This window comes from Homo sapiens, chromosome 11 (genome assembly GCF_000001405.40).
Source record: "Homo sapiens chromosome 11, GRCh38.p14 Primary Assembly".
NCBI classification, from domain to species: Eukaryota; Metazoa; Chordata; class Mammalia; order Primates; family Hominidae; genus Homo; species Homo sapiens.
In genome coordinates, this window is record NC_000011.10 from 40790544 (window position 1) to 40804057 (window position 13514).

General features: G+C 35.4%; 1 protein-coding gene across 18 annotated transcripts in view, besides 1 other annotated feature; it reads right to left on the minus strand.

The window, feature by feature from the left end:
• Positions 1-13514, minus strand: part of LRRC4C (leucine rich repeat containing 4C) — a 1345454-nt gene that overhangs the window by 676345 nt on the left and 655595 nt on the right. The gene's annotated exons all lie outside the window — the stretch shown is intronic.
• Positions 4891-5076: a silencer, noted in NCBI's record as "fragment chr11:40816984-40817169 (GRCh37/hg19 assembly coordinates)". NCBI's record gives its function as "represses an EF-1alpha promoter that drives an FKBP-Casp9 reporter gene in an ReSE screen in K562 erythroleukemia cells {active_cell/tissue: K562}" and the evidence as "EXISTENCE:reporter gene assay evidence [ECO:0000049][PMID:32094911]".

The following is a 13514-nucleotide window of genomic DNA, read 5'->3' on the forward strand; positions in this document are numbered from 1 at the left end:
ATCCTCACTTTGCACATGTTGCTCTAGCCAGAAGCAGCCAAGGAGATTTTCCCTTATGACCATTTCAAACAGAAGCATAGACAACAACATCTCATCAGGAGAACACAGTGCATTGGCCTAAAATCTCTGTAAAACATATCTTTCAGGGACTAGATCCTATGTGTTTGAATCCCACATCAACAAAGCTTTTTATTTAAATAGTCCCTGTTGGGAAAATCATTAGTGTTTGTGATCTGTTAATTATAAATATGCAGACTACTAATGTCTCCTGTAAGGCTTCCAACACATCCTGTGAAAATTAATCATAATGGATCTTAAAAATATTTTTGTTTCTCTCTGATGGTTAATTATAGCTCCAAGGAGTCTAATAGGACTGTGCCACAATGCTTCCATTGATACTCCTTAGAATTGCAGGAAGCCAAAGTGCCAAGTTATTTAATCAGAGGTCTTCATTTGTTTGAAAAATTCCACACAATATGAGCTGCATTTTGTCACTCAGTACCTGTCTGATGAAAAGCTGTGAGCTGTTTTGTTTTTTGTGTTCCAGATAAGGATTATTTAAAGCTCACTCCCCACCTCTTCCAGAGGTGCTCATGAATTTGCTCATTCCTTGCTCATGAATGTCCTGGTATATGGGAATAAAGTTCAGTTGGCTATTTGGAGGTAATAAAACAAAATCATGGGGCCTATGAAAGCATTGTATGGTGTTGCAAATAAACTCTATTGATTTTACATTTTTCCATAGTAAATACTTTGCATCTTTCACATTTCAAAAGTGATTAAGTCATTCTGTCAAATCAGTTATTTTCCCCCCACTTGTTTGTATGTCTTGGGAGTTCAAGAAGTGTTGCTTCTAATAAGTGTAGAAAAAGTAATGAACAAGGAATAGGGAGGCTGAAAATTGATAATCTTCTACATACAGGCTCTTCATCCACTCCAGGTGAAACTCTACTCTAATTTCCATAAAAGTTTTGTAATCACTAAGCACTATGGAGAAGTAATCATGTTTGTGCAAAAAGTTAAGGACAAAGAGAGGGGTTAGGTTCTGGTTGAAAGACTTACTAGTGAGTGAATAGCCAGGTAATTTGCCTTTTGTATATGAAACATGCCTGAATTGTATGAAATCCATGTGCCAATTCATCGTGATCTATGAGTGGGAGGGGGATTGTGGAAAGAAAATAAAGCAGCCTCATAAAAAGAAATAGTGTGTTCCTATTAGATGTCCTTCTCTTCCTTCTGGACAGAGAATGGATCAGGTTCAGTAAGATTCTTTGGACATTAAACTAGTCTCTTATTTGTTTTTTAGAATATTTAAATGGAAGGAGGTGATACAATTCAGGAAGATAAGGCTATGCAAACCCATGAGTTTTGTTTTATCTGGTAAAAAAGGCTCTGGCTTCTTTTCCTTTAGTGGCTACGTAGTCTTTGAACACATTTGACATTGAACTAAAAAAAAAAAGTATATATTATTTTACTCCACCAAGCGCTCTTAAACTCTAAACACTTTTAGTTTGAACTTTTTTAACTATAAGCATCAAGAACCAGCAAATCAATTACAAATTTTTACTTCTCCAACATGTGGCCAAAGACATTATAGACTTTAGCCCTATTCTAGCATTTGCTAATTTGATATTGAAGAAAATATGACATGTTTCATTATTTTTGTCCTTTTGAATAATTATGAAATCAATAATGACGCTTCCAAGGAGTAAAAAAAAAATGAACAAAATCAATATTTTCTTTATTATTGAAGTTTATTTCTCGGTAGTGCTACCAGTTTTGAAAGGTGAGAAGACATGCAGACTGGTGTAAAAAGAAGTTTAATGGTAAATGAAAATAAATAGACTTTTTGGTTTATAAAGTTAGAAAGGGAAATGTAAGAATATTTTATTTATTAGAACCACACCAGTTAGAATGGCGATCATTAAAAAAGTCAGGAAACAACAGGTGTTGGAGAGGATGTGGAGAGATAGGAACACTTTTACACTGTTGGTGGGACTATAAACTAGTTCAACCATTGTGGAAGTCAGTGTGGCGATTCCTCAGGGATCTAGAACTAGAAATACCATTTGACCCAGCCATCCCATTACTGGGTATATACCCAAAGGATTATAAATCATGCTGCTATAAAGACACATGCACACGTATGTTTATTGCAGCAATATTCACAATAGCAAAGATTTGGAACCAACCCAAATGTCCAACAATGATAGACTGGATTAAGAAAATGTGGCACATATACACCATGGAATACTGTGCAGCCATAAAAAAGGATGAGTTCATGTCCTTTGTAGGGACATGGATGAAGCTGGAAACCATCATTCTCAGCAAACTATCACAAGGACAAAAAACCAAACACCGCATGTTCTCACTCATAGGTGGGAATTGAACAATGAGAACACTTGAACACAGGGCAGGGAACATCACACACTGGGGCCTGTTGTGGGGTCGGGGGATGGGGGAAGGATAGCATTAGGAGATACACCTAATGTAAATGATGAGTTAATGGGTGCAGCACACCAACATGGCACATGTATACATATGTAACAAACCTGTACATTGTGCACATGTACCCTAGAACTTAAAGTATAATAAAAAAATTAAAAATAAAAAAAGAAATCTTACCAAACTCAAATTTGCAAGAGTCAATGAAAAATGCCCTTGAGAAAATTATTTCTCAAAAATATTAAGAAAATAATTTAATTGTTACTGTTTAAAAATTGAGGGTCTCGAAAAACAATTAAGAAATTTCTTACTTGATTACTGATAAAAATTCTGTAAGCTTTGTTAATGTCTGCCAATAAAGTTACCTCAGTTCAAAAATAAACTTCCTGGTATAAAAAGTAGTTTTTTAGGCAATTGGAAGACAAGCCACACAGAGTTTTCAAATCCATTAATTATATAGTAACATCATCTTTGTCAGTAAAAGCAATTAAAACTACATTACTGTAACCAGTCAGAATTTGAAAAGCTTTGCATGTATTAACTCATTTAATACTCACAACAAACAAAACAAATAGGCCAGTACTACTTTGACTCTTATTTTACAAATATGGAAACTGAGGCACAGAGAGGTCAAGTAAATCCCAGTTTTATTCTTAGGAAGTGACAGAGCTGTGATTTGAATGCAGACAGTCTGGAAAGAGAGTCCATAATTTCAACCGGAATGTGTGGCATATATTTAAAAAGGTATATACCAAGATATTATAGCATTGGATATATTTTATATTTTAGTGGTGGTAATATAAATCATTTTCAACTTCTTTGTGCTTTTATGTACTTATCACATTCTCTATCATGGACACAAACAATTCTGTAATTAGAAATAAAGTATCTGGAATGTACTTTAAAAATACTCTTACTAGCTGCCTTCCTTCTCTCTTATCTTCGTATAAACTGACTAGGCTGCCTTCTTTCTCTATTATCTTCATATAAACTCACTAGACTTCATATAAGCTGACTAGGCTTCTTCATATGGCTGACTAGGCTTCTTTTTCTTTGTGAGATCTCTGATGTGAAAAAAAACTTTTTAAAAATAAACTTCCTGTTTCTAGATATGCATCCTGTCTGAATTAATGACCAACAGAATCTTGGAATATCCTTTTTCAAGGAAGTAGCTTAACAAAGCAGTCCCCCGTAAATAGCATAATTATGGTTCAGGAATCTTCTATTAGTTGAATGCAGAAAAGGACAAGCAATACATTCTGAGAGACTAAGAATGAACAAACGAGAAAGTCTGGGCCATAGGCATTTAGTGAATAAACATGAATAAAGAAAAGAATATATTTTTAAGACATACAAAGAACAAAGCCACTCTCATAAACGCCAGCAAAAAAAAAAAAAAAAAAAAAAAAAAATGTGGCGGACAGGGATCGGAGGATAAAGGAATGCTCAGACATGTACTATTTGTTCAAGGAGATATACTAGCCATCAAATCTCTGATTCTCCATCACAGGACTCATGATTTTTGTAGCAATTTTGTCTGTAAGAAATATCCTTTCCTTGGATACAATGGAGGGTAGAGAATAGACGCTGTTTCCGTCTGTTGAACTAGGTAATTACAAATAAATAGGTTTCTATCCTGCAAGTGTTGGAAGTACTACTTTCTAAAGGGCCTTGGGAGGTGTTAGAAAAATTTATGTCACCAATTCCTATGAGTAATACTGATAGAACAACCAGTTGAGTGCTATAAGAATATGAGTAGGACTCATCAAATAACCTAGGGAAGCCAGGAGTGTAGGGAAACAAGATCACGACTCAAAGTCCGTAACCAGGGCTTAGTATCAACACTTCTGTAAGTCCCAATATCAGCAGATAAAGTTTGATATCTGGCCTAGGATCAAGGTTTGGGCAGGTGACACAAGAATGATATATTGAGTGCTTCTAATTAATTTTCTCCTAAAATGGCAAATTTCCTTCCCTCTTACTCAATTCTTAGTTAGACATCATATCTTTTACTATAGAGAACTTCTCTAAGCCAAATCTTCCCATCACTTCAGATTGTAGTGTTTTAACTGTATTTCTCATCATGATCTCCTTTCATTGGTAACAGTCAATGACTTGCAGGCTTACAAAGCAATAACATACTCTAAAACAAGTAAAAGAACACTATACCAGGTAATAAAAAGCACAGGCAGTAATTGCCAGACATAGAATCTTTACTTCTCCACATCCATATATGCTACCATTAGAAGGGAAGGAAAGACTGGGCGCGGTGGCTCACGCCTGTAATCCTAGCACTTTGGGAGGGTGAGGCTGGTGGATCACGAGTTCAGGAGATCGAGACCATCCTGGCTAACACGGTGAAACCCTCTCTCTATTAAAAATACAAAAAAAATTAGCCAGGCGTGGTGGCGGGTGCCTGTAGTCCCAGCTACTCGGGAGACTGAGGCAGGAGAATGGCGTGAACCCAGGAGGCGGAGCTTGCAATGAGCCGAGATCATGCCACTGCACTCCAGCCTGGGCGACAGAGCGAGACTCCGTCTCAAAATAAATAAATAAATAAAATAAAATAAAACAAGGATAGGAAAAAATAGAAACGGTAATTATGCAGAAAGGCCCCAGAAGGGTTGCTTTGTGTTAGGTAGAAATTTTGACATAGGCAGTTTAAAAAAAGAAATCCACTTGTCCTCTTATAAAACAAGCTGTTTATTTTGAGGTAGTATTAATAATATATCCTTAATGTTCAAAAGAGACGAAATATAATTGTCAAAAATTTCAAAAGATGTAAGAACTTACTTTGTGGATTATGAAAGACCAAGTTCTGTAATGTGTAAATTACAGAAGAATATTCAAAATCTTTTAACTAGCCCTGTAACGCTTTAAGAATTAATAGGGCCACCTCCATGTAGGAGGAAGGCAGGAACATAAAATAGTTGTAAACTGCCAAAGAGAACTAATAATTGAGGGAAAAATGTGTTCTTAGCCCCAAATGATAATACGTCTATATATTATCTATAAGTTTACTCTGATCATAGAATGAAAATGCTTAGGTACCTAGAATGATGTTTTTCTTCAAATATTCAAGGAACTGGAGAATATGGGTGCTTTGGTATTATACCCAGGTTTTGGGGATTTATTTATAAAAAATATGTTCACCTAAACAGTAAATTTGTCTAATTCCTATGCATGCCCTGAGTGGGAGCTTGGGCAGTATTGGATACAAAACCATTAAAATAGATGATAGTAAGGGGATGGAACAAATGTCTCATCTCCGAAAGAGCTTAGAATTGAGCAGATGTTCAAAATAACAGGACCATGCATTTTGTTTAGTTACATGTCAAAGTTCGTGGTGCAGGGTAAACTCTGAAGTTCATATAAATCCACCTAAGGACAGGCTTGTAGTAAAAGTAACAAATGAGCCTAGGACAAAAAATAAAGTGAAAATACATGGGTGAAAGAGGCCACTTTAGCCAGATTCTGAAAGACATAGAGTATTTGCTTGATGGCATTAATAAGTCAGGCATGTACAACAGCAAGAATCACTAGTGCAAAGGACCAGGGTGTCTAAATGTAGTCGGTGTAGAAGGGAACAATACAAATTAAATCTGATAGCTGGTTTAGGGAAAACAAAAGAGGGCTAAGCAGAACTCTTTTTTTTTTTTTTTTTTTTTTTTATTTTGAGACAGAGTCTTGTTGTGTCCCACAGGCTGGAGTGCAATGGTGCGACCTTGGCTCACTGTAACCTCTGCCTCCTGGGTTCAACCGACTCTCCTGCCTCAGCCACATGAGTAACTGGGATTACAGGCATGCACCACGATGCCTGGCTAATTTTGGTATTTTTAGTAGAGATGGAGTCTCACCCTGTTAGTCAGTCTGGTCTTGAACACCTGACCTTAAGTGAGCTGCCGTCCTCGGCCTCCCCAAGTGCTGGGTTACAGGCATGAGCCACCACGCCTAAGCCATAAGCAGGACTTTTGATAGACCACTATTACTATCACACGCTATAGAACTTGAGCAATATCTCTGGATAAGATGAATCATTGGAGTAGACAGTGGAGAATAATTTGGATAGTATTTCTAGATTATTTTTAGGAAAATGAGAATTTAAACAATAGTAACAACCATGGAAAGACACATGCTTAAGAAGGGAGATAATTAACAAATTGGAGAGAAAAAAATTTTTAAAGGATAGAGAAGGTCTGGTGAAAAATGACTCCATAGCTCTGAACTAAGAAAGATACAGATATCTCTGATTGGGATATAAAAATAGAAATGGAGAGTATGGGGTGGGCTGGAGTAGGCAATGAGCTCAAATGAATTTGGTTTTTGAAAGGTTAGGTGTTACTGTGGGGCATCTGAGAGAAGAGATCCTATGGCAAATTAAGGCAAGATCCTGGACAGATCTTGGGACATCTAGTTGGAGATGTACAGTTTTGGAAATCATAGGGATTTGGGTCAAAAATGAAACCATTAAAGAAGTAAATACAGAATACGAGAGTCTTAAAGACTATCTGCAGTTAGTAGGTTAGGAAAACAAGAACAAAAAGAGAGTATTTTATTATATAGACTACAGTGATAACTTTTATGTGGAATCAAATGTATTTCCAATTTCTCAGGACTCAAAAATCTCTACAAGATGAGTAAAGGGGGAATAAAAGGATCAAAAATTACCTTATACTGCTCTAAGAAGTTATTGTATACTTTTTTCAACATTGAGACTTTCTCTTGATCCTTTAGCTAATATTAACCTTTCCTGTAAATAAAATTTTGTAGATGGATTGCCATTTAACTTGACCACAAAGATAAATGTGTTTAAATGATGATAAGCTTTTTGGGAACAGAGACTTAGTATTTGCTGCATCTATACAAAGTATTATACAACACCACACTCCATCTACATGACAAATAACAAATTAGAATATTAACACTGTTATTTAGCCAAATTCCCTAAAGTATGTAGGAGTAAACTCAGATTTGGAAATACTATTATTAATTATAAGATATTTTTGCCAAAAATCGCAACTAGAGGTTGAACAGTTATATTCCTATTGGGTCTATAATCTGTACTGGCAGCTCTTTGCTCCTACATAGGCAATTTTCAAGTCCCTTACTTGAAAGAGTCCCTGTTCATTAGACAAAGGGCTGGAGCAGAGGTCTGCATGTGTAAGATGCTGACTTGCAGTACACATCAAATGCACATCAACCACAAAAATTTAATGAATCACTTTCTTGCCTGCCCTTGACCTTGCCAAGAATGCTATGTGTGCACAAATCAAGAAACCTGTGAGACCATATGCTGTGGGTCAGCCTTTGACCAGTTTTCCCCATCCAGCTGTCACTCTGAAAGCAACATCACATACACACACATTTTTTATACACAGGCAATTGTCCTGAATTTTGGCCATAGGGGAAGCTTGCTGAGAAACAGTGTTTTGGAGTTAAGTTAGTTTTCTGATTTCAAACATGGAATTTGAAAGTTATTAGTACTTTTAAAAACCATCTTTCTCCATTTATGTTGCCTAATTTTAATATTTAAAATTATAAGTAATAGTCATGTAATAAAATCAATAACAATACTATAGATGCATAATAAAAGTATCTGTTTCTCTATTTCTAGAGGTTATCAGTATTATATGTTTCTTTTTAAGTTTCTTTCTTTCTTTTTTTTTTTTTTTGAGATGGAGTTTCACTCTTGCTGCCCAGGCTGGAGTACAATAGCACGACCTCAGTTCACTGCAACCTCTGCCTACTGGGTTCAAGTGATTCTCCTGCCTCAGCCTCCCAAGTAGCTGGGATTACAGGCACCTGCCACCATACTCAGCTAGTTTTTGCATTTTTAATAGAGACAGGGTTTCACCATGTTGGCCAGGCTGTTCTTAAACTCCTGACCTCAGGTGATCCACCTGTCTTGGCCTCCTAAATTGCTGGGATTACGAGCGTGAGCCACCATGCTCTGCTGTATTATAAGTTTCTTTTATATCCTTCCATAAATTTTGTATGCTTAAAAACAAATATGGTAAAATATAATTTTTGTGAAATAAAATCACATTGTTCTCACAATTCTTCTTTGCATATAGGTAGCAACAAATCCTAGAAACTTTTGTTTACAAATACATATAAGCTTTCCTCAGTGTTTTTAAGTCATATGTAATATTTTACTTCATAGATGACTAGTTTTTACTTCATCAGCCCCCTACAAATAGGTTTTTTAAATTATGCAATTTTCTGCTTATTTTTCTCATCACAAGCAATTCTCTAACCTTAATTTTTGTGTACCTTTGCATTGTTTTCTGATAATATATGTGGATATAAATGTATCAAAACATCACATTGTACTCCATAAATATTTATAATTATTTGTCAATTAAAAAAATGAAACAAAAAATACTGGACAGAAAAGTCCTCTCTTATGTTTTATGTATAAAAAAACAACATGGTAGAGTTAAAAGATCATTGACCTTGCAGTCACATTAACCTAGATTTGAATCCTAATACAGTCTCTTACTTTATTTATTTATTATTTTTTTGAGTCAGAGTCTCACTCTGTCACCCAGGCTGGAGTGTAGTGATGCCTCCTGGGCTCAGGTGAATCTCATGCCTCAGTATCCCAAGTAGCTGGGATTGCAGGCATGCAACACCATGCCCGGCTAATTCTTGTATTTTTAGTAGAGAAGGGGTTTTGCCATGTTGGCCAGGCTGGTCTTGAATTCCTGCCTCAAGTGATTCACCTGCCTCGGCCTCCCAAAGTGCTTGGAATACAGGCATGAGCCACTACATCTGGTCGTAGTATAGTCACTTACTTTTTGATATGTCTTTGGGCACAATAACTTCTCTGATCTCAGATTTTCTCTTTGTAAAAAGATGACAAGTCCTGCACAATTAAGATTTTCAGAAGTGGAAATATACTGGCTAGATCATCCTTGGCTTGTATTCTTGTATTTTAACAGCCAGTATCTAGACAGTCTATTTTCAGGTAACACACATTAAAAGACAACATAAATTTTCTAAAACATGTAGCTAAGAAAAGAAGTCAGAGGAGAAAAAAAGAGGGAAAAAGAACAATGTTTTAGTACAGATATTGAAGTCAGAATTGGACTAGTTATCTAATCCTATAAATTCCTAATTAAGTGTTTTCTCAATTAATTTTGTTTAAGTTTTTTAGTTTTCTTTTTATAAGCTCTCCTTTCCCACTGATTGTGAGGGTGTCTTCACCTTACATCTGGTCCATGTGATGCAATGACTAAGAAACTATTGGCAAAGTCCTTATAAACAATTAAAAGAAGTCCTGGCAAAACATGACTATTTTGTTTCCCTGTCTGTTGTCCCTTCTAACTGGGGGAATGTTGAGGACAATGCTTATCCATGACAGCATTTATTGTTTGAGGGGGAATTCAATGGTGGCCATGGATGATATAATACACTCTTCATCAATACCCATATTTTGTGAACATGTATGGAGACTGGATGATTACTAAGTCATTCGCCCTTTTCCGAAGTTACCTTTTTAAAATTTCAACTCACAATCACACTTTTGCATTTTTCTAACAGATGTTACCATCGTCTTGTATATATTGACAATGGCCTTATAAATTAGGCAAAATTAGGAATAATTAACTCTGTATTTTGAAGGGTTGAGGAAATTAAGCTTTAGAGGCATTAGTCAATCTGCCTGTACCTTCCAACTCCAAGTTCACTGTTCTTGCCACTATACCACACTGAATGCCACTCTATTTTAATACAAAGATCATCTAGGCAGTGTATTTTCTTCTTCTGTGTCTTAGCTCTTTCAGAAGAAAAAAAAAGCTTTTTCAGATACTTTCATTGATGTCCTATTGAATATAATACAAGCTATTCTGCATAAGATATCAAACTTCTCCTTCAGTTATTCCAACCTATATGAACAGCCTCATCTCTATTATCTGTGAGCTCCAGGACCATCACATCATAATCTTGTTCCTTAAATACATCATAAACTTCTTCACTACCTTGCCTTCCCCATTGTCTTTCCTTCAACTTAGAGGGCTTGTTTTCAATTATTCACCCACGTTAATTATATTCCGCACTCTAAGTAAATCAGATGACAATGTCTTGACTAAGTTCTTCCTGATTTCCATAGTCACAATGAATCACTCTCGCATAAAGAAAAACAAATGTAGATATACCTACAGTAAACTCACATATTCTTCCCTCTTATTAAAATTACTTATTTATATTTTGCTCCCTTGAGTCACTATAAGCAATTTATGAGAAAAATTTTATCTATTTTCCACAGGAATCAAGCATGCACCTGGGTATATTTGCCATTCCCTCCAGCTGGTGTGCCCTTCCTCACTATTCTAACCAATATTCAAGGCACACCTTTATACCACCTTCTATATGAAACCTTTTCTGAATCTCTTTAGGAGGACCTACATCATTCTCTTTTGAACTCCAATACCACTTTATAGCAATTACTTCTTTCTTATGTTACAGTGGTTTAAGTGTATTTTTATTCCTCCAAAAGATTTTTACCCCCATGTGGGCATGGACTGCACCTATTTTGTTTACCACTGTATGCTGTATCCTTTGAGTTCAATGCATAGGATGTGCTCAAACAACATTTGTTGTATATATAGAGAAATGTATAATCTTCTTGTTAATACCATCTATGTTTATATCTAATAATTTTTTAATCTCTCACAGTTACTTTTAGAAAGAATTCAATAGGTATTATTTCAAAATCTATGCAATTGTCATTTTTTAGGTCACAAACAGTTGAGTACCAGAAATTTTTTTTTGACCTAAAAGTAATAGAGTAAGTGAAATGATGGCTAAATAAATGAATGAAAACTCCCCAAAGTTACAAATCATGGCATGCCTGCATTAATCACATACATAAATATGATTTCATTTGATGGAAAGTCATTGGGAGGTCAAGAAGGGAGAATCTAAATTAAAATATGTCACTCCTTCACATGGAGAAAAATGCATTTTCGGTACATCATTTACTGCAGGGAGGACTAATACAGACTACACATCCACCAGGCTTTTCTTCCCCAACATATTCATTTTCCTCTGTGCTCACTGAAATAAAAAATACCTGTACCTGAGTAAATCAACAAGCTTGCATCTTCTTCTGTCCTTCCCTAGTGAGAATTCCAGCTACATTCCATTGTCAGAACTGTGCAAGTGCAGCCAGGCTAATCACAACTGCTGAGGCATCAGACTCCTGCACACATTAGGAGATGTCCTTATTGTAAAATTATATAAGACCAAAATTATCTTATGGGGTTGTTTTGACTACTGGTTTCAGTGCTTTCAAGGAAGCCAGTTTAGTTGATTTCCTGCTACACAGTGGGTATTTAATAAATGGTAATTTTAAAAAAAAACAAAACCAGTCTGGTTCACTTACACATGATTTAATATTTTCCTGGACTGAGAACAGGGGTCCACATATACTGAATGGAGAGAAATGCTGCTGAAACCAGAGCATTTAATAAAACACCCAGAAATTGGACATAATTCTTAGGAGGTTAGAATAAGCAAAAAAAAAAGATAAGGAAGAGGAGGATAAGGAGGAAGAAAAGAAAGAGGAAAAGAAAGCCATTATTTCTTTAACCCTTAATGTGTACCAGGAACTTTCAAAGTCCCTTGCATGTATTGAACATTGTAGAATAAAGTAGAATAAACATTTCAGAATAGAAAGTAAATGAAAAGACATAGAAAATGTGAGAAAAAACAGAAATTTAAGCATTATCCCTTGAAGATAAATATCCAAATAATAGGAGTTGCCAAAACTGTGAAGAATACATATGGGAAGAAGAAACGATCAAAGTGATAACTTAATAAAAATTCCCAGAAGTAAAGTCTATTAGTTTCCAAATTTAGAGGACACTGACATTGCCCATCACAGTGGTTGAAGAAAGGCTCATACCAAGGAACATCTTTGTGAATTTCAAATGTTGGAGCAAAAGAAAATCTTAAAAACCTTGCAAGAGAAAAGGCAATGCAAAAAGGATTCATGATTATCATGGCAGTGTAATTTAATAAAATTCTATAATTAGGGTAAATGGATCACTATCTGCAAAATTCTAAAGGAAAAGGAAGATGGATTTCAACCTATGATTTGATAACCAGGCAAGCTACCAGTTAAGTACTTAATATTTCTGTAATATTTGCTATGTGACAGGTACTGTTGAAAACAGGCTACATATATTAACATATTTAATTCATCAACAGTCCTAAGCAGTTACTATCGTTATTTTTCTTATTTCACATATGAGGAAATGGAGGCACAAAAAGATTAAGTAATGTGTCCCCAAGTCATATCAAATGCTATATGAGAGGACCAGGGTTTACAAACCTACAAGCTTGGTCCAAACATGAGAGCCTGCCCCTTAACTGAAAGTAAACAGCTAGCCAAACAAAGAAACATGGCTTAGATCAGTTGTGATTTTTGTGCTAAACCTAAAACCCTTAACTATTATCAATTCCATTACTATGTCCCAGAAATTGGTTCAATAAAATGCATCATCTAACTTAATCCATTGAGAATAAGGAAAAGTCTTCTCTATCTCCCAAACTTTTAAAATAATTAAAAATTGTCTATATGGTCATTTTTTTTAATATTTAATTTTTAATTAATTAATGAATTTATTTATTTTTTTGAGAAAGAGTCTCGCTCTGTCACCCAGATGGGGTTTCACCGTCTCTACTAAAAGGATGGTCTCGATCTCCTGACCTCGTGGTCCACCCGCCTCGGCCTCCCAAAGTGCTGGGATTACAGGCGTGAGCCACCACGCCCGGCCTAATTTTTAATTTTTATGAGTACATAGTAGGTATATATTTATGGGGTACATGAGATATTTTGATACAGGCATGCAATGCATAATAATCACATAATGGAGAATGGACTATCTATCCACTCAAGCATTTATCCTTTGTGTTACAAACAATCCAATTGTACTTTTTTAGATATTTTTAAATGTACAATTAAATTATTATTGACTATAGTCACTCTGTTGTACTATCAAATACTTGGTCTTATTCATTCTTACTGCTGCCTAAAAATCAAATAATTAAAATTTTGTTTG